This window comes from Homo sapiens, chromosome 12, assembly GCF_000001405.40.
Source record: "Homo sapiens chromosome 12, GRCh38.p14 Primary Assembly".
Classification (NCBI taxonomy): domain Eukaryota; kingdom Metazoa; phylum Chordata; class Mammalia; order Primates; family Hominidae; genus Homo; species Homo sapiens.
Genome location: NC_000012.12, coordinates 12,587,224 through 12,614,277, shown reverse-complemented (window position 1 = coordinate 12,614,277; position 27,054 = coordinate 12,587,224). Strand labels below are relative to the sequence as shown.

General features: G+C 44.0%; 1 protein-coding gene across 1 annotated transcript in view, besides 8 other annotated features; it reads right to left on the bottom strand.

Annotated features, from left to right (window-relative positions):
* The window catches only part of CREBL2 (cAMP responsive element binding protein like 2), a 33,233-nt gene extending 30,831 nt beyond the window's left edge, over nucleotides 1-2,402 (bottom strand). Inside the window, exon 1 of the mRNA NM_001310.4 lies at nucleotides 2,091-2,402. Coding sequence (NP_001301.1) covers nucleotides 2,091-2,105 — 15 coding nt within the window. The 5' untranslated portion in view covers nucleotides 2,106-2,402. The remainder of the gene's footprint in view (nucleotides 1-2,090) is intronic.
* Nucleotides 2,049-2,348: a silencer, noted in NCBI's record as "silent region_4259". NCBI's record gives its function as "represses an Ori minimal core promoter by ATAC-STARR-seq in GM12878 lymphoblastoid cells {active_cell/tissue: GM12878}" and the evidence as "EXISTENCE:reporter gene assay evidence [ECO:0000049][PMID:35858748]".
* Nucleotides 2,049-3,033: a biological region, named in NCBI's record as "H3K27ac-H3K4me1 hESC enhancer GRCh37_chr12:12764179-12764930".
* Nucleotides 2,282-3,033: an enhancer, noted in NCBI's record as "H3K27ac-H3K4me1 hESC enhancer chr12:12764179-12764930 (GRCh37/hg19 assembly coordinates)". NCBI's record gives its function as "activates a minimal SCP1, AML or CMV promoter by ChIP-STARR-seq in primed H9 embryonic stem cells {active_cell/tissue: H9 hESC(primed)}" and the evidence as "EXISTENCE:reporter gene assay evidence [ECO:0000049][PMID:30033119]".
* Nucleotides 2,509-2,558: an enhancer, noted in NCBI's record as "active region_6016". NCBI's record gives its function as "activates an Ori minimal core promoter by ATAC-STARR-seq in GM12878 lymphoblastoid cells {active_cell/tissue: GM12878}" and the evidence as "EXISTENCE:reporter gene assay evidence [ECO:0000049][PMID:35858748]".
* Nucleotides 2,609-2,688: an enhancer, noted in NCBI's record as "active region_6015". NCBI's record gives its function as "activates an Ori minimal core promoter by ATAC-STARR-seq in GM12878 lymphoblastoid cells {active_cell/tissue: GM12878}" and the evidence as "EXISTENCE:reporter gene assay evidence [ECO:0000049][PMID:35858748]".
* Nucleotides 5,729-5,947: a silencer, noted in NCBI's record as "fragment chr12:12761265-12761483 (GRCh37/hg19 assembly coordinates)". NCBI's record gives its function as "represses an EF-1alpha promoter that drives an FKBP-Casp9 reporter gene in an ReSE screen in phorbol 12-myristate 13-acetate-treated (for megakaryocytic differentiation) K562 erythroleukemia cells {active_cell/tissue: K562(+PMA)}" and the evidence as "EXISTENCE:reporter gene assay evidence [ECO:0000049][PMID:32094911]".
* Nucleotides 12,662-13,861: an enhancer, noted in NCBI's record as "MED14-independent group 3 enhancer chr12:12753351-12754550 (GRCh37/hg19 assembly coordinates)". NCBI's record gives its function as "activates an origin of replication core promoter dependent on BRD2, BRD4, P300/CBP and CDK7 cofactors, and independent of MED14, by STARR-seq in HCT116 cells {active_cell/tissue: HCT116}" and the evidence as "EXISTENCE:reporter gene assay evidence [ECO:0000049][PMID:35650434]".
* Nucleotides 17,432-17,666: a silencer, noted in NCBI's record as "fragment chr12:12749546-12749780 (GRCh37/hg19 assembly coordinates)". NCBI's record gives its function as "represses an EF-1alpha promoter that drives an FKBP-Casp9 reporter gene in an ReSE screen in HepG2 liver carcinoma cells {active_cell/tissue: HepG2}" and the evidence as "EXISTENCE:reporter gene assay evidence [ECO:0000049][PMID:32094911]".

The window sequence follows — 27,054 nt, the reverse complement described above, 5'->3', positions numbered from 1 at the left end:
CACACCTGTATTCCTAGCACTTTGGGAGGCTGAGGTGGGCGGATCACCTGAGGTCACTCGAGTTTGAGACCAGCCTGATCAACATGGTGAAACCCTGTCTCTACGAAAAATAAAAATTTAGCTGGATGTGGTGGCACACGCCTGTAGTCCCAGCTACTCAGGAGGCTGAGGCAGGAGAATTGCTTGAACCCAAGAGCAATTCTCGGCAGTGAGCCGAGATCGTGCCACTGTACTCCAGCCTGGGCGATACAGCGGAGACTCCGTCTCAAAAAAAAAAAAAAAAAAAAGAAAAAAAAGAAAAAAGAAAGAAGTGTGATGTCCCCTCCCCAAAGAAATATTCAAAGCAAAAAAAAAAAAAAATTACTTGCTGATTTTTCTGGAAAACTTTTAGAACGCTACCCTTCTGTCTTGGAAATACCACTTCCCCAATATCATACCCCACGAATGTTACTATAGTAAAACTGAAGAGTCTACAATGTTATCCCGCATTCTGTTGCATTGTTGTAAACAAACAAGGGCAAGATTCTTGTCAAGGGAATTAATGTGTGTACTGAGCATATTAAGCACTCTTATGAGCTGATAGCTTCCTGAAACTCGCCCCCCTTCTGTCTTGGAAATACCACTTCCTATTAAGAGGGGTTTACTACTTCACAAGCAATCCGTTCCTCTAGGTGAGTAACAATTCCAGAGTACTGCACTGGGCTTTCCCTTCCATCTGTCACTTCCTCACAGCCTTCTACATGAAGAGGAAGAGAAAACAAGAAGGAAAGAATAAAACAAGGAACACAGAGAAGTTGGAAATTTTTTGAATCTCTCTGAGGATATGTGAAACAAAAACTGCAGCAGCAGCAAAAAAAGACACCCAAACAAAGGACAAAGCTATCGTAAAGAGTATGCCAAAGACTGTGAAACAGAAGACGCTGAGAAGCACAAAGAAGGACGGTTTTTACTTTAAAAACTGGCAAATTTTAGAAGTCTGATTCCTTAAAATAAAAAAGTCCAAATCCAAAACAACCTGAAACATCAATAAACAAATCTTTGACCATCCCTATCTTCAGGAAATAAAACTAAACAACACTAATGTGGGTAGATGTAAAGAGAGAAAGGCGGCCAGGCGCGGTGGCTCACGCCTGTAATCCCAGCACTTTGGGAGGCCGAGGCGAGCGGACACCTAAGATTGGGAGTTCGAGACCAGCCTGACCAACATGGAGAAACCCCATCTCTACCAAAAATACAAAATTAGCCGGGCATGGTGGTGCATGCCTGTAATCCCAGCTGCTCGGGAGGCTGAGGCAGGAGAATCGCTTGAACCCGGGAGGCGGAGGTTGTGGTGAGCCGAGATCGCGCCATTGCACTCCAGCCTGGGCGACAAGAGCGAAACTCCGTCTCAATTAATAAATAAAGACAAAAAGGCTATACATAGATAAACTATTTGGATTAACCAATAATGAACATTATCTATTATTTTATAATCATAAAGTAAGTGATTTGGACAGGGAAATTGGATGGTGATGGGCTATTAAAGTTAACAAGAGGAAAATCAGTATTTTTTTAGAGAAGGCTTTCTAGTGGAGGTTAAACTCCACACTGGCCAAATAGCAACAGGAGCTTAGCGGTGTTCCAACCAACCACAGGAAATAGCTCAGAGGGGGAGTGAACTGATTATATGAATGGGGCATTGAGTAAGGGAGCCTGAGAGAAGGGGAATCGTCAAGGGGAATAAGGCTGGTTCAGCGTGCACTAAAGTCTCCAAACTGGAGAGAGGAGGCAGCAAAAAAGTGCAAGAAGAAAAAGTACAGTAGTTTCTTATCTCGACAGGCAAGTTAAGGACTAGGGGTTGCACTACCTGGAAAGCTAGCAAACGCCCTGGGAGTGAAAAATTTCCAGAGAGGGCCCTTCCTGGAAAAACGCAGCCCCGGTGTTCCCTGATTTCCTGGCTGGGTACCATCGGGCAGTGGACTGGAGAGGCGCAGGGATGTTTTAGGCAGGTGTCTCTTGGGTGTTGGCGTGGACTACATAGCGGAGGTTCAGCCGCGGGACTAGCATTGAGCGACAAGAAGGCGGCGGCGCGTGCAAACCACAAGACTTACCTTACTGTCATCCATCGCGGCAGACAGGCCGGCCTGGCCAGGCACTCCCTCCCGGAGCCCTCCCCCGGCTCAGCCGGCCTGGCCCGGCCCCCGCCCCGAGGAAGAAGGGGATATGGTTCTGGCTGCCTCCTCCTCTCGCCTAACAGTTCGCTTCCCTGATGCCAGAGTCACGGGGACGAGGGACCAGTTCAGGAATGGCAGAGCGGACCCTGGAGGCGGCCCCAAACGCCTCCCTTCGCCGCCGCCGCCTCCTCCTCCCCCTCCATGACAGTCTCTGGGTGTTTACAGACGCTCTGGAGAGCCGCCGAGACCGGAGGGTGGGCGGGAGCGCTGCACACGGAATGGCCCCTTCGGCTGCCGTAGCACCGCGGCATTCTGGGAATTGTGATTTTTCTTATCACAGTCTCTGCGCTACTGACTGGAAAAAAAACTACGATGTCCACATAGCCTCATTAAGGGGCAGCTGTTTTCCTTTTGCCTACTAGCTAGCGCTGAGGAGGCGGGGCTGGGCTGGAGGCCCAAAGTGCGCCTGACCTGAGGTTTTGGCTCCTAAGTGCCAGGGCCTGGAATGGCGGGGACGGGAGTTTGGTGCTCTGCGGAGGCAGCCCTGAAGGCGGGGTGCCGGAAGCAGGCCCTCCTCTGGGACGCTGAGGAAACCCTAAAGGTTCTTTATTTAAAAAAAAACGAAAAACAAAAACTAAGTATGTAAAATAGTGCAGCTACTTTGGGAAGAAATTTGGCAGTTCTTCAGAATATTGGCCACTCCCATACCCAAGAGAAATTAAAACGAGTGACTACACAAAAACTTGTATATAAATGTTCTTTCCTAGCAGCATTATTCATAATAGTCAAAAAGTGGAAACAACGCAAATGTCCTTTACTGGATGAATGGATAAACCAGTGTGGACTATACAAATTAAGAAATACTGGCCAGGGGTGGTGGGTCACGCCTGTAATCCCAGCACGTTGGGAGGCCGAGGCGGGAGGATTGCTTTAGCCCAAGAGTTCGAGACCAGCCTGGGCAACATAGCAAAACCTGTCTCTACAAAAAAATACAAAAATTAGTCGAGTGTGGTGGCACATGCCTGTAATCCCAGTTACTGGGGAGGCTGACATGAGAGGATCACTTGGGCCTGGGAGGCAGAGGCTGCAATAAGCCAAGATTGTACCACTGCACTCCAGCCTGGGCGACAGAGCCAGACACTGTATTTAAAAAAAAAAAAAAGAAGAAGAAGAATGAAAGAAGGAAGAAGAACGATGAAGGAAGAAGAAGGAGAAGAAGGAAGAAGAAAGAAGAAGGAAGAAGACCCATATAGTAAGATGCAGTCTCTACAAAAAAAATTAAAAATTAGTTGGGTGTGTTACAAAAAATTTAAAAATTACTTGGGTGTGGTGGTGGTGCTTGTAGTCCTAGCCACTCGGGAGGCCCAGGTGGGAGGATCGTTTGAGCCCTGGAGTTGGAGGCTGAAGTGAGCTGTGATCACGGCACTCCAGCCTGGGCAACAGAGCAAGACTCTGTCTCAAAAAAAAAGGAAAGAAATATTATTCAGCAATGAAAAAAAATGAAGGGATATACACACTTCAATATGTCTGAACCTTGAAAACTTTATGTGAAGTGAAAAAAGCCAGACACAATAGGCCACATATTGTATGATTCCATTTATAATGAAGTGTCTGGAACAGGCACATCTAAATAGACCAAAAAATCCATTAGTGGTTGCCAAGGGCTAGGGTTGAAGAATGGCAGGGATGGAGGGATCCTGGAAAGGAGAGTGACGGTTAATGAGTACTGGGTTTCTTTTTGAGGTGATGAAAATGATCTAAAATTCAGCCGGGCATGGTGGCTCACGCCTGTAATCCCAGCACTTTGGGAGGCCGAGGTGGGCTGATCACCTGAGGTCAGGAGTTCGAGACCAGCCTGACCAACATGGAGAAACCCATCTCTACTAAAAATACAAAGTTGGCCAGGCCTGGGAGAGCATACCTGTAATCCCAGCTACGTGGGAGGCTGAGGCAGGAGAATGGCTTAAACCCAGGAGGCGGAGGTTGCAGTGAGTTGAGACCGTGCCATTGCACTCCAGCCTGAGCAACAAGAGCGAAACTCCGACTCAAAAAAAAAAAAAAAAAAAAAGAAGAAAAGAAAATTATCTAAAATTGATTTTGGTGATGGTTGCACATCCTGTGAATATATTAAAAACCACTAAATTGTAGTTTAACTGTAGTTAAACCACTTTAAATGAGTGGATTATATCTCAATAAAGTTATTTTAAAAATAACTGGCTGTGTCCTCATTTAATAAAGTCAGTGAGCTTGTTTTTACTGTTGTTTTTGTTTTGGCCTACCTCGGGCCTTTGAGAACTTGACAAAGATTGCATATTTGTCAATGCTGCTCCTGAAGAGCCCTTTGGCTCACACCTTTTCAAAGACTCACAAAGTGCTTTCTCAACCCTTGCAAAATCCAACTGAGGTAGAGTTCTCAGATTTAGCAATATAGACACAGAATACTCAATTACATTCGAATTTCAGATAAACCGCAAATACTCTTTTAGGAAAGTGTGTCCCATGCAACTTTTTTTTTTTTTTTTGAGACAGAGTTTCGCTCTGTCACCCAGGCTGGAGTGCAGTGGTGCAATCTCGGCTCATTACAGCCTCTGCCTCCCAGGTTCATGCCATTCTCCTGCCTCAGCCTCCCGAGTAGCTGGGACTACAGGCGCCCACCACCACGCCCAGCTAATTTTTGTATTTTTAGTACAGACTGGGTTTCACCGTGTTATCTAGGATGGTCTCTATCTCCTGACCTCGTGATCCGCCCGCCTCGGCCTCCCAAAGTGCTGGAATTACAGGCATGAGCCACTGCACCTAGTAGGTGTATTAACTTCTAAAATTACAGTGTAAATCCTCAAGGACTTTATAATCCAGGAGGTGACATACAGAAAACTTAGACCATTCACTAAACAAAGCATCTGGTAAAAAATAATACAGATCAAGTTTAATATCTATGTGGTGATAAGTTGAAGGTAAGAGGATGTAAAACTTATGGTGGGCAGGGAAAGCTGCGCATCAGACTGATTAGAAGAGCAAACACAGCAAAGTGTTTTTTAAATGGTTAGGGGAAGAATGTGCTCTCAGCATCCTGGATGTGTTCTATATCTACGGTTCTCAATCTTTTTTTCCTATATCATCTTCTCAAAAGGAACCTCCAAGGCATGCAATTCCTTTAAAAAACACATACATTTCTCCTCTCTTCACTCCCTCCCCAACAGTCACAAACACATTTCATATACTCTCAGACACCCCACATAGAGGCACTGTTGGCCTATGTTGCATCAAGCCTCTGTCACTGCTATGGAGTTTCTTGTAGTAACTTTCTAAGTAGCATGGTGCACACCCACTCCTAATGGGTCTGCATGCCTCCATGCCCTCATCTATCTGTCTGCCTCCTGGTCCCCTTACCGCTGGGCACAGGTGTCTAAACAGAGCCAAGATGATCATGTTACTCCCTGGGCCACATGGGTCTTCTTGGGCTCATATCCCCTGGGGAACATCACAGAGAAAGAATGCTCATTAAAATAGCTTGTTAGGCCCAAGCTGGCTTTCCATTTAGTTTGACACTTTTTTTTTTCTTTTTTGAGGTGGAGTCTAGCTCTGTTGCCAGGATGGAGTGCAGTGGCATGATCTCAGCTCACTGCAACCTCTGCCTCCCGGGTTCAAGCAATCCTCCTACCTCAGACTCCCAAGTAGCTGGGATTATAGGCATGTGCCAGCATGCCCAGCTAATTTTTGTATTTTTAGTAGGGACAGGGTTTCACCATGTTGGCCAGGATGGTCTCAATCTCCTGACCTCAGGTGATCGGCCCACCTTGGCCTCCCAAAGTGTTGGGATTACAGGTGTGAGCCACTGCACCTGGCCAGTTTGACATGTTTGAGTCTGAAAAATTTTAAAACTGTCCAACCCTTTCCAAACATCCATTGGAAATTAAAAATGTCTGATGCAATTCTGGAAATTTTTGCTAGATCCATCTCCAATAAAATCTAGAAATAGCAATAATTTTTTTTAAAGGCCTACCAAGGAAAAGACAAAGATGGGCCGGGTGTGGTGGCTCACGCCTGTAATCCCAGCACTTTGGGAGGCTGAGGCAGGCAGATCACGAGGTCAGGAGATCGAGACCATCCTGGCTAACACGGTGAACCCCATCTCTACTAAAAATACAAAAAATTAGCCAGGCATGGTGGCAGTCCCCTGTAGTCCCAGCTACTCGGGAGGCTGAGGCAGGAGAATGGCGTGAACCCAGGAGGCAGAGCTTGCAGTGAGCCGAGATTGCACTACTGCACTCCAGCCTGGGTGACAGAGCGAGACTCCATCTCAAAAAAAAAAAAAAGACAAAGATGGCCATGAAATCTACCATGGTAACTTCTGACGCATCTTACCACACATCCTAAACTTGGGGAAGAAGGTATTCTAGAGTCATCCTAGAAATGCCCATTCATAACTTCTCTGTCTTTGGCTTGTCTTTTCAAAGAATTGATCATCCATGGCTGGGTGATAAAAAGTTTTAAATGCAGCATGGTTCGTACAGTGAATTTGAGGATAGTTCAAATCATGACACAGAGACTGAGAAAGGAAAGGAGAAAAACTATTCAAAGTAAAAAACAAACCACTAATTGAAGAAAGGTAGGGGGTGGCATGAGATTAAGTGAGGAGGGTAAGGGAACAAAAATTAACCTTATTATAGAAACCACAAACGAGGCGAACAGTACAATATTCTACATTCAGGAATGCCATGGCTACGTTGATATGTAAATCTGGCACTTGAACAAAAGAGTAATTATTGCTGCTAATATGGTAATCCTCAGAGGTACAGAGAAAAAGTGGGTGGGTCATGTGAAATTCATGAAATGCTTGAGGTGAACTCACTGTCGAAGTATTAGTCATGTTTTGTTTTGTGTGTGGTTTTTTCCAATTTATTTTATAGATAAGTCTTCCTCTGTACTTTTCGTTTTCTAAAAGTTTAGCTTATTTTCAAAAGGCTATAAAATACTCTATTGGAAACGTTTGTTTTTGTTCTAAAGGCATTTTGCAACATGCCTCCCCTCCTTTGGCCTACACGGACAAATATGCCTACATTTGCATACAGCACAGTACCTATTTACTCTCTGTATTGGTTAGAAAGTTCAGAGACAACAGTCAAAAGGAACATTTTCAGACTGAGCACATAACTCAGCCTCCAGCTTGTTAGCAGGAGCAAAATAAATAAATAAAGCCAAGAAGTACTGAAGCAGTCTGTTGACAAGGAAAAAGAGACCCAATCAGCATAAAAATAAGGAAGAGAAAATGAAGCTCAAGGAACTAAAACCTTCCAAGCTCAAACTTTCCCTCACCTCTTCCCCTTCACCAACATACTAAAAGCTTCCCTTCAAATGCAACACCAGTAGTTCTTGATACTGTACTATTTACTCTTTTCTGCTTAAAATACTGTTGTTGTTTCTTTCTTTCTTTTTTTTTTTTTTTGAGATGGAGTCTTCACTCTGTCGCCCAGGCTGGAGTGCAGTGGTGTGATCTCGACTCACTGCAACCTCTGCCTCCCAGGTTCAAGCGATTCTCCTGCCTCAGCCTCCCGAGTAGCTGGGATTACAATGTGTCACCACACCCAGCTAATTTTTGTACTTTTAGTAGAGACGGGCTTTCACCATGTTGGCCAACCTGGTCTCAAACTCCCGACCTCAGGTGATCCACCTGCCTTGGCCTCCCAAAGTGCTGGAATTACAGGCCACCGTGCCTGGCCTACTGTTGCTGTTTCTAAGCCATATACGTCCCTCGCCCAGTGAGAAAGAATAAAATGCGCCCTTATTTGAGGAAATAATAGAAAATGTATTTATTTGGCCAATAAGCAACTGTTTAAAACTGAGCAACCCTTTGTAAGAGAGGGCTTTCCAAGCATCCCTATTAGTCATTTACACTTTAGTATGGATATGCTTCTTTTTCTCTTACCTGCTCCCTAAATATTAATTTAACACAGGGTTTACATGGGGGAGAAAAGAGGAATATATGGTTTTGGAGGATGGATGTTATAAGAGGGGGAAGATCTGAGTAGATCTGATTGCTGTGGTTGGGCTTTCAGCATTTGAAGAGCAGCAAGTAGAAACTGGATACCCATGGGGGTTAGGGTCGGGGAGGTAGGAGAGAGCTGAGAAAGTATAGTCCAGTACCTTCTTTAACAATTCTCGGCCAGCCACGGTGGCTCACCCCTGTAATCCCAGCACTTTGGGAGGCTGAGACGGGCGGATCACGAGGTCAGGAGATGGAGACCATCCTGGCTAACACGGTGAAACCCCGTCTCTACTAAAAATACAAAAAATTAGCTGGGCGTGGTGACGGCCGCCTGTAGTCCCAGCTACTTGGGAGGCTGAGGCAGGAGAATGGCATGAACCCAGGAGGCAGATCTGGCAGTGAGCCGAGATTGCGCCACTGCACTCCAGCCTGGGCGACAGAGCGAGACTCCGTCTCAAAAAAAAACAAAAAACAAACAACCCGAAAAAATAAAACCAATTCTCCCTTCTGTTCCTTTCTGTCCAAAAGGAGTAATTTTCAGTTGTACCTTAGATTTCTGGTGTTAAGATTGAGTGCCACGGCGTTCATTCAAGGGGCTTATAAATCCTTCCAGTCCTTTCCCCAGGGCCACTAACACTTCAAATTCCCAGGTGTCCCTAATTTGAGAGTAACCTTCTGAGAATAGCATTAGACCCTGGCTGTCCCCTCCCTGCCAATAAACCTAATATTCCTTTCTCTACCCAGCATTTATGAACCCCTTCACCACCAAGAGCCTGATCATTTAGTTTGGTGGTGGTGGCAGCGGCCGGCGGGACCAAGGGCACCTCCTACGTACACAGGAGGAGTATTTCATTTCTCCTTAATGAAGGCTGTGGCCCTGACCCCTCAGCACTGTCTCCAGTTAGGAACACACCCAAAGCAGTTAATTAGGCAGCCTGGAGAAAACCAGAGATCCACTATAGAAAGGAAGGGATATTTATTGAGGAACAGAAGTCGTCTTTTAAAAAGTGTTTATTTTTGGCAATAAAGAGCACATTTTTCTTCTGCTGCTAAAGAAGAAAAGGTGCCTGGCCCTGTGTGTGTCTGTTGGGTAAACCCTCAGGAGATGACTGCATCAGACCTGCAGATGTCTAAACTTGCTGTAGCACGTTACACTTATCGCTTGAAACGCTTTTTTTAAAAAGCAAGTTTCAGAGTCCACTTTTGAGCTTGTTGTTTCCAGTGTAAGGTTGGTAAGCCCAGCGGTTTTGTTGAATGGAAATCTGACAGGGCTCCTCTTCTGGATCTTGTATTTTTAAGGGAGAAAAGATTGGAACCCTGAGTCGTTAGGAGGAAGTTTGCTTTTGGTACCTGGAAACTTCACAAGAGTAGCAGGGGAACCATTTCTTACTTCATAAATAGCCTTAACTGTTCCATTTTTTGCTTCAATCTTCCCCATTTCTAAGAAAAAAATACAAGGAAATTTACTATTGAAATGCTATCAAACCTACTTATGACCATAAAGATATTTTCGAAAAGCCATAAATATTTATGGGGATTTAAGTGCTAACAACATTTCTTTTCTTCTTTCTTTTTCTTTTTTTTTTTTGATAGAGAGTCTTGCTCTGTCCCCCAGGCTAGAGTACAGTGGCACGGTCTCAGCTCACTGCAACCTCTGCCTCCCTGGTTCAAGCGATTCTCCTGCCTCAGCCTCCTGAGTAGCTGGGATTACCGGTGTGTGCCACCACACCTGGCTAATTTTTGTATTTTTAGTAGAGACAGGGTTTCGCCATGTTGGCCAGCCAGGTTGGTCTTGAACTCCTGACCTCAGGTGATCCACCCACCTCAGCCTCCCAAAGTGCTGGGATTACAGGCGTGAGCCACCGCGCCTGGCCCAACATTTCTTGACTCTAAGTTATATACTGTCTATTGCTAGATGTAAATATCTCTTTCTTTTGGCTTATTTTATAATACTATGGATATTCTGATTTTTCTGTTTGGGATCATATAGTAGTCACACATATTTATTTTTTGACTTATATAATCTACATATTTTAAAGCATAAAAGCATATTTTCAATTCCTTTGACTTTTTTTTTTTTTTTTTTTTTTTTTTTTGAGACAGAGTCTCACTCTGTTGCCCAGGCTGGAGTACAGTGGTGTGATCTCGGCTCACTGCAACCCCCACCTCCCGGGTTCAAACGATTCTCCTGCCTCAGCCTCCCGAGTAGCAGAGATTACAGGCGCCCTTATTGCTTCTCGGCCTTTGGCTAAGATCAAGTATACAGGCGCCCACCACCATGCCCAGCTAATTTCTGTATTTTTAGTAGAAACAGGGTTTTGCCATGTTGGACAGACTGGTCTTGAACTCTTAACCTCAGGTGATCTGCCCCCCTTGGCCTCCCAAAATGTTGGGTTACAGGCGTGAGCCACCGCGCCCAGCCTCCTTTAATTTTAAAAGGCTTCCTTCATCTGTATAGAAAGATTTCCATCGTAGGCTTTATCTTTAAATCTTTCTGCTTGTACAAAGAATTGTTCTCCAAAACATTTGTTTAAATCTGAAGGTAGTTAATGTCATTCTTTGGTTAATTCAATGTTACATGAACAACATAGCACCTAATATTTTGTGATAAATTATAAAATTTTTAGTGATAATACCAGTTAATGGTTTCCAAAAATGTTCATGTGAATATTATCTCTTGTAGGAATGAAGGTGTTGTCACTTAGAATCTAACCTAACATGCTATTTCTGTCACCAACAACAGTTCTTTGTTAGAGGGCATAGTTGTTCTAGCTAATGTTTTATATATATATATATACATTTTTTTTTTGAGATGGAGTTTCGCTTTTGTTGCCCAGGCTGGAGTGCAATGGTGCATCTCGGCTCAACACAACCTCTACCTCCCAGGTTCAAGCAATTGTTCTGCCTGAGCCTCCCGAGTAGCTAGGATTACAGGCATGAGTCACCATGCCTGGCTAATTTTGTATTTTTAGTAGAGACGGGGTTTCTCCATGTTGGTCAGGCTGGTCTTGAACTCCCAACCTCAGGTTATCCACCCGCCTTGGCCTCCCAAAGTGCTGGGATTACAGGCATGAGCCACTGCGCTCAGCCATCCCTAAAAGTTTGATAAATTTTGCTTAGTAGCCACTTTTGGCTCTGTTATGCATATATGTGTCCAGGCTGGAGTGCAGTGGCACAATCATAGTTTACTGTAACCTCAAACTCTTGGGCTTCAGTGTTCCTCAGTGATCCTTCTGCCTCAGTCTCCCAAGTAGATGGGCTAATATGCCCAGCATTAAAAAAAAAAAAAAATTGTAGAGGAGGTGGGGGTTGGGTAATGGAATCTCACCATGTTGCCCAGGCTGGTCTCCACTTCCTGGCCTTCAAGTGATCCTCTCACCTCAGGCTGCCGGTAAAGACTTTTTTTTTTTTTTTTTTTTGAGGCAGAGTCTCACACTCTGTCACCTAGGCTGGAGTGCAAGTGGTGTGATGTCCACTCACTGCAACCTCCGCCTCCCAGGTTCAAGAGATTCTCCTGCCTCAGCCTCCCGAGTAGCTGGGATTACAGGCGCCCGCCACTATGCTTGGCTAATTTTTTTTTCGTATTTTTAGTAGAGATGGGGTTTCACCATCTTGGCCAGGCTGGTCTCAAACTCCTGACCTCATGATCCACCAGCCTCAGCTTCCCAAAGTGCTGGGATTACAGGTGTGAGCCACCACGCCTGGCCAAGATTTTTTTTTAATAGAAAAAATTAACCAGGCCTGGTGGCACGTACCTATAGTCCCAGCTACTCCGGAGGCTGAGGTGGGATGATCGCTTGAGCCTGAAAGGCAGAGGTTTTAGTGAGTCGAGATTATGCCACTGCACTACAGCCTGGGTGACAGAGTGAGACCCTGTCTCAAAAAAAAAAAAAATTTTTTTTGGAGATGAAACTGAAGGCTATAAGATTTTTAAAAATAGAAAGAAAATAAAATTATTTAAAAAAAGAAAAGAAAGATACTTTTTTTGCTTGCTCCATGAAATAGTCCTTTAAAAATGTATTCTAAGCTTATTTCAAAAAAGTTTCAGAGTACTCTTTCATCCTTATTTCATAAGCAAACCCATGCTGATTCTATGCCTACTGTTTATGGTTTTTATAGACTCACATGATGCTATTTCTCAGCTTTTACCTAGTCGAGGTGAAAGGCACTGTTCCGAAAAGATGCTTCCTCACACCTAGCCCTCATAAAGTTTTCCACTGGCCTTTTCTGAACAGTTCCTGATATCATCACCCCTTTCCAGAGACAGTCACCAAAGCTGCCTCCGCAAGCTCTTCCGTTTGTGTGTGAATGATAGTTTTGCTTGTTTGTTTGCTTGTTTTTTGTTGTTGTTGTTTTGGAGATGGAGTGTCGCTCTGTCACCCAGGCTGGAGTGCAGTGGCGCGATCTCAGCTCACTGCAACCTCCACCTCCCAGGCTCAAACAATTCTCCTGCCTCAGCCTTCCAAGTAGCTGGGATTACAGGCACATGCCACCTTGCCCGGCTAATTTTTGTATGTTTGGAGATGGGGCTTCACTATGTTGGCCAGGCTGGTCTCGAACTCCTGACCTCAGGTGATCCACCTACCTCAGCCTCCCAAAGTGCTGAGATTACAGGCGTGAGCCACCATGCCCGTCCTGTTTGGGGCTTGTTTTTAATCTGAGTAAAATAAATATTCTGTTTTCATTCCTATTCTGGACTTGGTGCTGCCCAACATTTTCTGGGGCCTTCTGCTGGAACCTTTTGGACACATAACCACAGTGATCTACAGGAACTTGGTGAAGGCATATACATATTTTTCACACAAATGACTAAGCTCTTTGTTCCTTTAATTTTCAAAAATTAGCTCTTTAGACAAACACCTTGTTTCCCCAATAAAATAGTATTATTAGAACTGGGAGTTTATATAACTATTCTGTTACAGGGATTATTTTATAACATAGCATAGGAATTTTAAAGTCCTGAGAGTTTAGAGCTACGGGCTCTCCTGACACTCCTGCTGCCCTCGCAATAATGAGATTCAAAACACGAAAGTAGCAACACCCTCCTTCCACATTTTGCCAGGAGAACATACATATCATTGTGAATTTTATAGATTTGCTTTACATTGAAGCCCTGGCTTCTAGATATTTCTCCAGAAGTAGGATAGAAAGTCATTTTGTCTTAAGTAATGCTGCCTTTCACATAAGCTTCTTGAATTGACCGCTGCCAATTCAAGATGGCCTTGTGCTGGCTGACGCAAATGCAGGGAAGGATTGCACAAGAAACCTTGATCTTTTCCCGTGGTGTTCAGCACCCGGGTCATCATCCTGGACTTAGCTCCTCCGCCACAGCTTCCCCCTTCTCCTTTTAGCACGTGGTTCTTGTGTTGTGTTCTGTTATTTCTGTTGTTTTGTGTTTTAAGACAGAAAGTTCTTGGGAGGGGGGAGCATCCTTTCCCTAATTCTTAAAGGTTTCCGCAGTTGGCTTTGCTTTGTCTCGGAAAACTTCAAGCCTTCAGTGTGTTTCCCTTTCCCACTCAGCATGGAACGTGCCTGTTCACCTGCTCTGTTCTTGCTGCTGCAGGTGAGGCCCAAATACGTGCTTGTAACCTTCCTGCCCATGGCTTCCAGAGGACGAGATCATAACTTCTCTTCATGGTCGCCCACTCCTCCCCCTATGCTGTGAGGTCTTTGAGATGAGGTGGAAGGTGTAGGCTGATTACACCTGCCCAATTTTCTGTCATACAGTTGGGTCCCTGCCTACTCCCCAGTGTGCCTCCACCACGCCCTGCCACTTCCGAACCCTCCACTCATTCATGGTTTTCTCCCTTTTTCCTACTCCTAAATCCACTCCTTGCCACTGACACAGTGCTGGGCAGCTCTCCCCAACCCCCTTTGCTACCCTTCAGGCATGAGAAAAGCTACCTCTGCAGTTTTGCCAGGTCCCCGCAAGGCAGTTCAGTCCCCAGCCAAAGTGCTAAGATGCACGGCAAGGCTGTTCTCCTGTTTCCACAGGTGCCCCTGGGAGGTGGTTTGTTGTGGGGCAGGCTCGTGCTGGAATTAGACCTTTTTCAGCATTCTCCAAGAGAGCTGCCTCTCCAGTTTTTCCTCTTTAATGTTTCCAGCAAACAGGTGGTTCCTCCACTGGTAGTAAATTCCTGGATATTTTTACCCACCACTCCATAAACAAAATGACAATGTTATTGGAAATGTCATGCAACCAGGCATATGAGTAATGTCCCCATTAATCAATTTGCCAAAGAAAACAGGTTGCTATCTAAGCTTGTCTGGAGAGATGCTAGCTATGTGAAGGAAGAAAAACTGAAGCATCTGCTTTAAAGTACACTGTCAAGATATAAATGATATATGCTTGCTGATTTAGTATGTTTTAAAATAAATGAATTGTTACAGGAACTTCACTGTAATGCTATGAGTAGTGCCTGTAGGGCAGAGGTAGAGATAACATGGAATCCAGGAGAGATGCAGGTTTTACTGCATTTGTCACTATATTAAGAAATGTCAAACTACAAAGAAATCCTTCAGCTATAGTATAACAAATTCATTCTTTTATCTATGCATTCATTTACAAAGTGTGTTGAGCAGGCAGTGTGCTATATACTAGAAATACAAAGATTAACTAGATAGGGCCTCTGCCCTCAAGGAGCTTATACACTAATGGGGATTTATTTTACATTTCATTTCCAAACTTCCTTAAGAATGTAAATGAATAACTTCAATATAGTTTGTTAAGTGTGATAATAAAGTTATTCAGAAAATATAGAGAGGAACCAGGGCAAGCCTTTACAGAAAGGCTGATTTCTGAGCCAGGTCTCAAACACTGAGTACATGTTTTTCCAAGCAGGCAGGTAAAGAAACATTTGCAAAGTCATAGTTCTGTGAAATAATGGGGGGGAACTGCAAATAATTAGATTTGAGTGTAACACAGGCATCTCAAGAGATGAGAGCAGTGTCAAGAGCTGAGGCCAAAGAAGTGGACAGGTGATAGATGACGAAGCACCTTGAATGCCAAGCTTAGGATGTGGACTTAATTTGAAGGTACTGGGGAGCTACTGAAGGTTTAAGCAGGAGAGTGACAAATCTGAGAGAACTTGGCTTGTTCACACGCAGTTGGCAGCTCTCTATACCTCTTATTTTACTATTTTATTTATTTATTAACATTTTATTACACTAGATTATACCATACTCATAATATATACTATATGGTGGTATGGCATACAGAACTGAATATAACTGAGTGTAAGGGCCTGCCATATAGTAACACTTCCCGATATCTGATGACCGAACAAAAACTCTTTAAAAGTGTCTCACCCTTGGTCAGATGGAGGTGGGACTGGAGGATCACAGGCCAAGTGTCCTGACTTCATTGCCTTCCAGATTCTTTCTGTCACATACATGCAACAAGTGACAAAGGAACCCTTGGGATGTCCCCATAAATACGTAGTGCAGCTACATGGCAATGCCCAATATATGTTCCAGAAATTATCTTAATCCCTTCTTCAATCAAAATTTTAATCCAATCTATTGTATCTGGGAAAGAACATTAACTTCTGAAATGTTAGTAAGACATGGATTTTACTCTAGAGAAGCCTTTTAATTTTGCTGAACAATATCCATTTTGCAAGATGAGTGATACCTGTAATGGACACACAGCAGTTAGACTAAAAATTCTCAGTGCACTTCGTTTTCCCAGGCCATGCCTATTAACACATATTACCAAGAACTGATGGATGGGCAAATAGAATGATAAACAGTGAGATTGAATTTAGACTCCTATCACTTACTCAATAGAGTTGAATAAATATTATTTGAGAAACATGGGCTGTTGGGCATGGTGGCTCGTGCCTGTAATCCCATCACTTTGGGAGGCTGAGGGGGTGCGGATCACTTGAGGTCAGGAGTTCGAGAACAACCTGGCCAACATAGTGAAACCCCGTCTCTACTAAAAATAAAAAATAATAAAAAATAATTAGCCGGGTGTGGTGGTGCATGCCTGTAATCCCAGCTACTTGGGAGGCTGAGCTAGGAGAAGGGCTTGAACCTGGGAAGTGGAGATTGCAGTGAGCCGAGATTGTGCCACTGCACTCCAGCCTGGGTAACAGAGTGAGACTCTGTCTCAATAAAAAAAAAAAAAAAAGAGAAGTAAAGAAAGGTGGGCTGGCCACAGTGGTTCAAGCCTGTAATCCCTACACTTTGGGAGGCCAACACAGGAGGGTTGCTTGAGCCTAGGATTTCGAGACCAGTCTGGGTAACATAGCAACCCTGTCTCTTAAAAAATAACTTAAAAATTAGCCATCTGTGGTAGAGTATGCCTGTAGTCCTAGCTACTCAGGAGGCTGAGGTGGGAGAATCACTTGAGACCAGGGGTTCAAGGCTGCAGTGAGCTATAACAGCACCACTGCACTCCAGCCTGGGTGACAGAGTAAGACCCTCTCAAAAAAAGAAAGGTGGCAAAATGAAAAAAACACCTTCCATGTTCTCTACAGACACTTTTCCTGAACCAGATGGAATTATCTTTTTCATTTGCAAAAATTAAAAATGTAGCTTATTTCAAAAGTAATACATGGCCACGGTAAAACATCCAAACAATAAAAAAAGGCCATAAGATAAAAAATAAAAACATTTTCCCCATCTCTCTGATGCACGCTCCAGAGTTAACCACTGTATATCCTTCTAAAAAGTTTCTATGCACTACAAGGAGTATAGGTATCTCCGTTTCATTTTTATACAAATGGTATTATATCATGCACACTGTTCTACATTTTTTCAATTAACTATATGTTGGACATTATTCCATATCACAGTATAGAGCACTATTTTCATCCTTCATTGTTGCTTTTCTTTCCTTCCTTTCATAATTTACTTTGTTTTACTTTTTATTTTTACTGGTTAATGCAGAAATATACAACCTTTATTATACATATTTCTGTTCTTGTGTGAATTTATATGTAGAACAGATTCCTAGAAGAGGAACCTCTAGATTAAAAGTATTTGCACTTGAATTTTTTTTATTATACTTTAAGTTCTAGGGGACGTGTGCACAACGTGCAGGTTTGTTACATATGTATACATGTGCCATGTTGGTGTGCTGCACCCATTAACTCGTCATTTACATTAGGTATATCTCCTAACACTATCCCTCTCCCCTCCCCCTACCCCATGACAGGCCCCAGTGTGTGATGTTCCCCATCCTGTGTCCAAGTGTTTTCATTGTTCAGTTCCCACCTATGAGTGAAAACATTCAGTGTTTGGCTTTCTGTCCTTGAGATAGTTTGTTCAGAATGATGGTTTCCAGCTTCATTCATGTCCCTACAAAGGACATGAACTCATCCTTTTTTATGGCTGCATAGTATTCCGTGGTGTATATGTTGCACTTGAATTTTTTAGAAATATTGCCAAATTTCAAGGCGAGACATCCCTAGTGTTGAGGGGTTGGGCCTTCCACTAATTTCAAGGATTGAACCTGACACAACCCCACCCCCTTTCCTTCCTTCTCAGGGGAAGAGAGAGTAGCTCCACTCGTGCAAGTCCCTACCCTAGAGGAGAGAGAGGAGAGGCAGAGAGGCAGTGAGGGAAAGGAAGAGACAGAAAAAGAAGGAGTCAAAGAGAGAGAGAAAGAGAGGCAGAGAGAGAGAGGAAGAGACAGAGACAAAAAGGCAGTATGTTCAATTCTTTGCCTTCTACTTTTAAACTAAACTTCCTCGTAAAGCAACCTTTTTCGATTACCTACTCCACCCTAACTCATTCTGATCACCTGCTCCACCCTAACTCATTCTGATCACCTGCTCCACCCTAACTCATTCTGATCACCTGCTCCATCCTAACTCATTCTGATCACCTACTCCACCCTAACTCATTCTGATCACCTGCTCCACCCTAACTCATTCTGATCACCTACTCCACCCTAACTCATTCTGATCACCTGCTCCACCCTAACTCATTCTGATCACCTGCTCCACCCTAACTCATTCTCTTCACTCAGTCTGATCACCTGCTCCACCCTAACTCATTCTCTCCACTCATTCTGATCACCTGCTCCACCCTAACTCATTCTCTCCACTCATTCTGATCACCTGCTCCACCCTAACTCATTCTGATCACCTGCTCCACCCTAACTCATTCCAATTACCTGCTACCTGCTCTGCCCTGACTCCCGCCAAAGCACTCACCCCATCATTCTCTTTAAATTAGCCAATCGGAATTAGTTTAGCCTGTGCAGTCTAACCCTAGCCAATAGGGGAACGACACAGCAGCAGGGGCCAAGTGCTTCTGGGATAAGAACCCCTTCCCCTCCCTTGTCCAGATGTGCAGTCCTCATTGTTCCATCTGTAAGGGCACACGCTTCTGTATAGAAGTAACTTGCCTTGCTGAGAATTAAAAGGAAATTTCCTTAAAAGAAATATTGCCAAATTTTCTCCAAAAGCATTATAAATACGTATACTTCCATTGGTAATGTGTTTCCCTGCTTGCCAGCCAACATGTTTTGTTATTAAACTTTTAAAGCTTTGCCAATTTGACTGGTTAAAAATTGCCATCTTACTGCTATTTTAATTTGCATTATTTGAATTAGCAGCGAAGTTGAGTATTCTTTTTATGTGTGCATTGGGTGCATTCATATTTCTTTTTCTGAGAAGTACCAGTTCATGTCCTCTGCTCATTCTTTTTTTCTGAAATGGAGTTTCCAGCTTTTGTTGCCCAGGCTGGAGTGCAATGGCACGATCTCACCTCACCGCGACCTCCGCCTCCCAGGTTCAGGTGATTCTCCTCCCTCAGCCTCCCAAGTAGCTGGGATTACAGGCATGCACCACCACGCCCAGCTAATTTTGTGTTTTTAGTCTCTAACGGTGTTTCTCCATGTTGGCCAGACTGGTCTTGAACTCTTGACTCAGGTGATCCACCCGCCTCAGCCTCCCAAAGTGCTGGGATTACAGGCATGAGCCACCGTGTCCGGCCTCCTTTGCTCATTCTTTTATAGGTGGTTGGCTTTACCTTACAGATTTCTTTCTTTTTTTTTTCAGACAGAGTCTAGCTCTGTGGCCCAGGCAGGAGTGCAGTGGCATGATCTTGGCTCATTGCAACCTCTGCCTCCCAGGCTCAAGTGATTCTCATGCCTTGGCCACCAGGGTAGCTGGGATTACAGGTGTGTGCCATCACCACGCCTGACTACTTTTTGTATTTTTAATAGAGACCAGGTTTCACCATGTTGGCCAGGCTGGTCTTGAACCCCAGACCTCAAGTTGATTCGCCTGCCTTGGCCTCCCTCAGTGCTGGAATTACCCCAGGCATGACCCACTGCACCCAGCCTACCTTACAGATTTCTAAAGGCTTCATCTATACTAAAGGAATGAGAACATATATAGATAATACGTGTTGCCCACTTTTCTCCCAGATTGTCAATTGTCTTTGACTTTGTTGATTGTATTTTTTTATTCAGAAGTTTTCATTTTTAAGTAGTCATATTTATTAATCTTTTCTTTATGACAACTTCTGGATTTTATAGACAAATATTGCCAAGTTTTCATACTAAGAAAAAGCCTTCTCCATGCAAGATTATTTAAAAATTCATTATTTTATTCTAGTACTTTGGTTTTTTCATTTTTATATTTAAGTCTTAGTTCTGGGATTTATTTTTGATGTGCAGAGAAAAATATGGATGCATTTTCATTTTTTCTAAAAGACTAATCACTTATACCAACAACATTTATTGAATATTTTTCCTACTGATTTGGAATGCTCCTTTTATTGTAAACTAATTTTGTTTGCATGTGGGTCCACTTTTGAGCTTTTTCCATTGATCTGTCTATTTCTGCACTATACCAACTGTTTCTTTTTTTTTTTTTTTTTTTTGACAGAGTCTCGCTCTGTCGCCCAGGCTGGAGTGCAGTGGTGCGGTCTCAGCTCACTGCAAGCTCCGCCTCCCGGGTTCACGCCATTGTCCTGCCTCAGCCTCCCGAGTAGCTGGGACTACAGGTGCCCGCCACCACGCCCGGCTAATTTTTTGTAGTTTTAGTAGAGACGGGGTTTCACCATGTTGGCCAGGATGGTCTCGATCTCCCGACCTCATGATCCGCCCGCCTTGGCCTCCCAAAGTGCTGGGATTACAGGCGTGAACCACTGTGCCCGGCCTCCAACTGTTTCAATTAATGTAGCTTTAGAACAAATTTTAAAATACAATGAAACTAATTTCCTTTTTTTTTTTTTTTTAAAGAGACACAGGGTCTCTCTATGTTGCCCAGGCTGGGATCAAGTGATCCTCCCAGCTCTGCTTCCCAAAGTGCTGGGATTACAGGCGTGAGCCGCTGCAGCCACTAGTTTCCTTTTATTATCTTTCTCTCATGTTTATATTCCCAGATGATCAATACTCAAGTTCCAGTGAAAAATTTAATTGTATGCTCTGTTTGTACAGAGTCATGATGGCTGGTAAGATAATTTAGTGATTCTTAATGCTCAGTATTTTTTATTGTTGTTTTTATTTCCATGATTGCAGCGTGAATAACATTGCTAGTGGTGAAATTTTTATTCATAATTATTCATATTTATTTTACTTATTTTTTCATACATATTACGAGTCCTTTTTATGCTTCCCCAAAATGAACTTTTGACTGAAACTACTTGACAGTGTCCCAGTGCTTACTCGGCCACCACACTGAACCCTCTAAAATGCATAAAAGCAGGCAGTACCTACTCAAAATTGGGAAAATGATGCTTGCTTTAGATGTGGATAAAGAAAACTCATATTCATCATGCTTTTCATTCCACAATCCCAATTGAGTTTAGGATTCCCAAATTAGCCTTTGTTCACTATTTTTTCCTCCATATTAGGTAACTTCCATCTATATATCTAGTTCTAGATGCAACTTTTCGATCTTGGGAGAAGAGAGATTTACCAAAAAGCACTAAGGAAACATTTAGAATCTTAGCAACTGCAGTCACCGTGGCCAAATTCTAACCCTCACGTGATTTGTCATCTACTACATCTTTCCTCTGCCCATGGCTCTCACCTACTAAAGTCCACAGGCATTCTGAAGGCCCCTTGAAACATCTGTGAGTCATAGGCAGGGAATTTAGAAATGAAAAGCTAGAAAGTTCAGACATTACAAGCAGAAGGACATGACCAATGGCTTGTTGACAAGCTCTGTCCTTCCTCATCCTCACCTTCCCCACTTCTGTCCCCACCCAAGATCTGAAGGTTCAAAGCAGGAGATCACCTCTATAGGATTTCTTTTCTTTTCTTTTGAGACAGAGCCTCAGTCTATTGCCCTGGCTGGAGTGCAGTGGTGCGATCTGCACTCACTGCAACCTCTGCCTCCCAGTTTCAAGTGACTCTTGTGCCTCAGCCTCCCAAGTAGCTGGGATTACAGGCACGCGCCACCATACCCAGCTAATTTTTTATTTTTTTATTTTTATTTTTTTTAGTAGAGACGAGGTTTCACCATTGTTGGCCAGGCTGGTCTCAAACTCCTGACCTCATGCAATCTACCTACCTCAGCCTCCCAAAGTGCTGGGATTACATGTGTGAGCCACCACACTTGGTCCACCTCTATAGGATTTGCCAAGAGAATTTCTCAGTCAGCCTCCCAACTTCTAACTCTCCGTTCATCTTAAAGCTTCAAGTGAGTATATTATTCTAACCACTGCACCCAGAAAAGATGGAGAAACAGGAACTGATAGACTCCCTGATAAAACACAATGGGAAGTGGCTGTCATTGCTTTATGTGACCATGAGCACAGTCCAAAGATACAGCTAGTTGCCTTGTGATACTGTGAGCTCTTCCTTGGATTACCTTCTGCCTGAACGGTTTCCATAGGATTCCTGAATTGGGACAGAGCTTGGACTAAATGATCTTTGAGTTGGTGTATTGGAGTCTTGGAAAGCTGGTGGTAGCTGAGCTGAATCTAAAATGACATTCAAATAGGCACAGAAAGGAGGGGAGGAGGAAAAGAGACAATGGCAGTCCCAGTAGAGGGAATAGTATAAACAAAGACATGAAGATGATGTGTACAGCACAGCAGAAGCTACAGACAGTTTGGTACTGTATTTTTGGAGTATTAAATGCCAGGAAAGGAGTAGCAGGGATAATACAGGAGAAGTAGAAAGTGGCTGGGTCCTGGGAGTCCTAGTTTACTGTGATCAAAAGCTTAGGTGTTATCCTAGTAAATATTTGTAGGTTTTTAAGCAGATAAATGACATATGGTAACTGGGATAGCTCCATATATAAATATAATGATGACCTTACCAAAAAGAATATGAGGCAATTTTGAAATTAGCTTTGTTAATGAAAGCTGGTGAGATTGTTGTCATATATATGCTAAAGGATCATTGTACCCATTATCAATTGACAAAAAGACATCTCCACCTAGCTTCTTTTTTTCTGAGATGGAATTTCACTCTGTTGCCCAGGCTGGAGTGCAGTGGTGTGATCTTGGCTCACTGCAAGCTCCTCCTCCCAGGTTGAAGCCATTCTCCTGTCTCAGCCTCCTGAGTAGCTGGGAATACAGGTGTGTGCCACCATGCCCAGCTAATTTTTTTTTTTTTTTGAGATGGGGTCTTGCTCTGTCGCCCAGGCTGGAGTGCAGTGGCACGATCTCCGCTCACTGCAAGCTCTGCCTCCCAGGTTCACGCCATTCTCCTGCTTCAGCCTCCCAAGTAGCTGGGACTACAGGCGCATGCCGCCATGCCCAGCTAATTTTTTGTATTTTTAGTAGAGACGGGGTTTCACTGTGTTAGCCAGGATGGTCTCGATCTCCTGACCTCGTGATCCATCCGCCTCGGCCTCCCAAAGTGCTGGGATTACAAGCATGAGCCACCGCACCCGGCCATTTTCGTATTTTTACTAGAGATGGGGTTTCACCATGTTAGCCAGGCTGGTCTTGAACTCCTGATCTCAGGCAATCTGCCTACCTTGGCCTCCCAAAGTGCTGGGACTACAGGCGTGAGTCACCCGGCCTGGCATCCACCTAGATTCTTAAGCCGAATTATGACACAGTTGCATTTATGTATCATAAAGTTCATCCTTATAGCATTGTGGGAAATCATTGTAAGGGTATTAGGACTAGAAGTAGGGAAACAAAACATTTTTTGGAATTGTCTAGGTGAATGGTGACAGAGGCTTGAACTAGGGCAGTAGGTGGAGACATTTGTTGAAGACAAAGCTAAAAGATTTGCTTGAAAAGACAGTGTGATGTAAGATGTTACCAAAGAAATGCACCTCATAATTGACTTACAGCCCCAACTTCTACATTCTGAAATCCATCACGGCTTCCTGCTCAGCTCATGCTTCTCGAAGGCTACTCCATGACTGAGTGCAACAGGAATATTAAGGCAGGCCCATTCCTGGGGAATGTGGGACCCCTCTAATGGGCAACTTTAGCTCCAAGATGTTACATTGTCCTTGCTGAACTTTCTTAATACTGCACAGCAGTCTAAGATTCCTCCACCCAAACTTCCTTCCACACAACCCACCAACCCTCCACCTAACCTTCCTTCCACACAACCCACCAACCCTCCACCTAACCTTCCTTCCACACAACCCACCAACCCTCCACCTAACCTTCCTTCCACACAACCCACCAACCCTCCACCTAACCTTCCTTCCACACAACCCACCAACCCTCCACCTAACCTTCCTTCCACACAACCCACCAACCTTCCTCCTAACCTTCCTTCCACACAACCCACCAACCTTCCTCCTAACCTTCCTTCCACACAACCCACCAACCTTCCACCAAACTTCCTTCCACACAACCCACCAATCTTCCTCCTAACCTTCCTTCCATACAACCCACCAACCTTCCTCCTAACCTTCCTTCCACACAACCCACCAACCTTCCACACAACCCACCAAACCTCCACCTAACCTTCCTTCCGCACAACCCACCAACCTTCCTCCTAACCTTCCTCCCACACAACCCACCAACGTTCCACCTAACCTTCCTTTCACACAACCCACCAACCTTCCTCCTAACCTTCCTTCCACACAACCCACCAACCTTCCACACAACCCACCAACCCTCCACCTAACCTTCCTTCTGCACAACCCACCAACCTTTCTCCTAACCTTCCTTCCACATAACCCACCAACCTTCCTCCTAACCTTCCTTCCACACAACCCACCAACCTTCCACACAACCCACCAACCCTCCACCTAAGCTTCCTTCCACACAACCCACCAACCTTCCACCTAACCTTCCTTCCCCACAACCCACCAACCCTCCACCTAACCTTCCTGCCGCACAACCCACCAACCCTCCACCTAACCTTCCTTCTGCACAACCCACCAACCCTCCACCTAACTTTCTTTCCACACAACCCACCAACCTTCCAGCTAACCTTCCTTCCACACAACCCACCAACCTTCCTCCTAAACTTCCTTCCACACAACCCACCAACCTTCCACACAACCCACCAACCCTCCACCTAACCTTCCTTCCGCACAACCCACTAACCTTCCTCCTAACCTTCCTTCCACGAAACCCACCAACCTTCCTCCTAACCTTCCTTCCACACAACCCACCAACCCTCCAGGTAACCTTCCTTCCCCACAACCCACCAACCCTCCACCTAACCTTCCTGCCGCACAACCCACCAACCCTCCACCTAACCTTCCTTCCACACAACCCACCAACCCTCCACCTAACCTTCCTGCCGCACAACCCACCAACCTTCCTTTGTCCTTCCTTCTACCCAGCATCTTTCTCCCTCTTGAACTTCCTTTCATTCTTCCTTCTATGTCTCATAAGGGACAAACCTGTATCATGGTCTGATGGCTCTCCTAGAGGACAATATTTATTGTGGGTAAGCTTTTGGGCTCTGGAGTCACAATAATTTGGGTGGTAATCTGGCTCCATCAATCTTTGATATATGAGTTCAAGCAAGTAATGTAACCTCTTAAAAGTGCCAATCTTCTCATCTTAAAATCCTAATTGTTTTGAGGATTCAATTAATCAGGCTTATAAAATGCTCAGCACAGTACCTGGCACACAGTAAGTACTTGATAAGTGTTAGTGATTCTTGTTATTAGATATGGGGGGTGAAGGGAAGGAAGAAGTCAGGTATAATTCTTAGGTTTCTAGGCTACTTACAATATATAAAGTAATCACAGATATTTCACTCAATTCTCCTTTTTCATATAGCACATATCCTTTTGAGTATGAAGAGATTAGGAAATCTTTCCTTTCTTTCCTCCCTACTCCTAAATTTCTTGACTCCTGCAGTTTTCATAACTGATGGAAGATAAACTACTAACCTATACATCAACATGGACATAAGAAAGGATTCTTGGCTGGGCGTGGTGGGTCACACCTGTATTCCCAGCACTTTGGAAAGCCGAGGCAGGTGGATCACTTGAGGTCATGAGTTTGAGACCAGTCTGGCCAATATGGTGAAACCCTATCTCTACTAAAAATACAAAAAAATTAGCTGGGCCTGGTGGTGTGTGCCTGTAGTCCCAGCTACTCAGGAGCCTGGGGCAGAAGAATTGCTTGAACCTGGGAGGCAGAGGTTGCAGTGAGTGCCGAGATAGCATCATTGCACTCCAGACTGGGCCTCATAGCAAGGCTGTGTCTCAAAAAAAAAAAAAAAAGAAAGGGTTCTTCTGACTCTGGAGTTTAGAGGGTAGCCTTTTACCACATTACTCCAGTCACTTCTACTTCTGGTAGGAGACAAGCTACGAAAGTTTCTTCTCCCTTATAGAGGAAAGACCCCTTTTAGAGCTCCTTCATGTAAGAAGGGAGGAAAAGTTACCAAACCTCCTTGAGGAATTAAATTAGGACAAAACTAGGTGGGGGAAACCTAAGTTAAATGCTTTTCATAAATAGCATTTTATTTAGGACAACTTAGCTATTGTCCTAATAGCTAAGTGCAGGAGCACCTTTGGGTTGTCCTGCTTTGTGGAGGCCCCCTGACCTAAGAACATGTTATATATTGATCAGGAAAGGAATTGGATATAGACTTGGAAGTGATCTCTGTAAAGTCAGAAGGAGGATCCTAGGACTGTAAGGGCATACACACAGGGCAGTGAGCAAGAAGTGAAGTTGTAGGGGAGCCGGGCACTGTGGCTCATGCCTGTCATGCCAGCACTTTGGGAGAGAGGCTGAGGTGGGAGGATCACCTGAGCCCAGGAGTTTCAGACCAGCCTGGGCAACATTTTAGAAATATTTAAATTTTTCTACATGCATGGTGGCATGTGCCTGTGGTCCCAGCTACCTGGGAGGGTGAGGCAGGAGGATTGCTTGAGCCCAGGAGGTTGAGGCTACAGTGAGCCATGATGGTGCCACTGCACTCCAGCCTGGGTGATACAGTGAGACCTTGTCTCAAAACATAATAAATAAGTAAATAAATACAAAAATAAATAAAGACAGGTACACTGTAAAGTGCACACTAGCAAATGATCTTGCCCTTTCTCAAGTACTTATAAGGCTTAAGACCGGGCCAGAATTCAAATCATAGACTGGCATATAGAGTTTAAACTAGTAAAATTAGAAAGGGAAAATGTAAACTCCTGAACAAAATGTTAAGAAATTTATGTATAAACCTGGAATGCGGAAAATCTAGCTGAGCAGTTTATATGAAAAATATTATGGGTTTTATTTAGGCTGGCTGCCAGTGCCATGGGAGCCAACAGTGTAATTTCAGCTTGTAAAGAAATGAGTGCAATCTCTGCCTGCATGGAAGTACAATATTCATTTAATAATGGGAAACTTCAGCTTTCTTATCTGCAAAATTAGACGCTAGATTAGACAATTTCCGGGTCCCATACAGTGCTACTATTTTATGAGTATATGACTCTATCACTTAGAAGTTCTAAACTTGAATTCCTGCATTTCCAGAAAATGACCATTGGAAAGAAATATAGGCTTGACTAAAACAGATAATTCATTTCTCTGGTTAACTTTATAGTTTGGATAATCTCCAAAGAG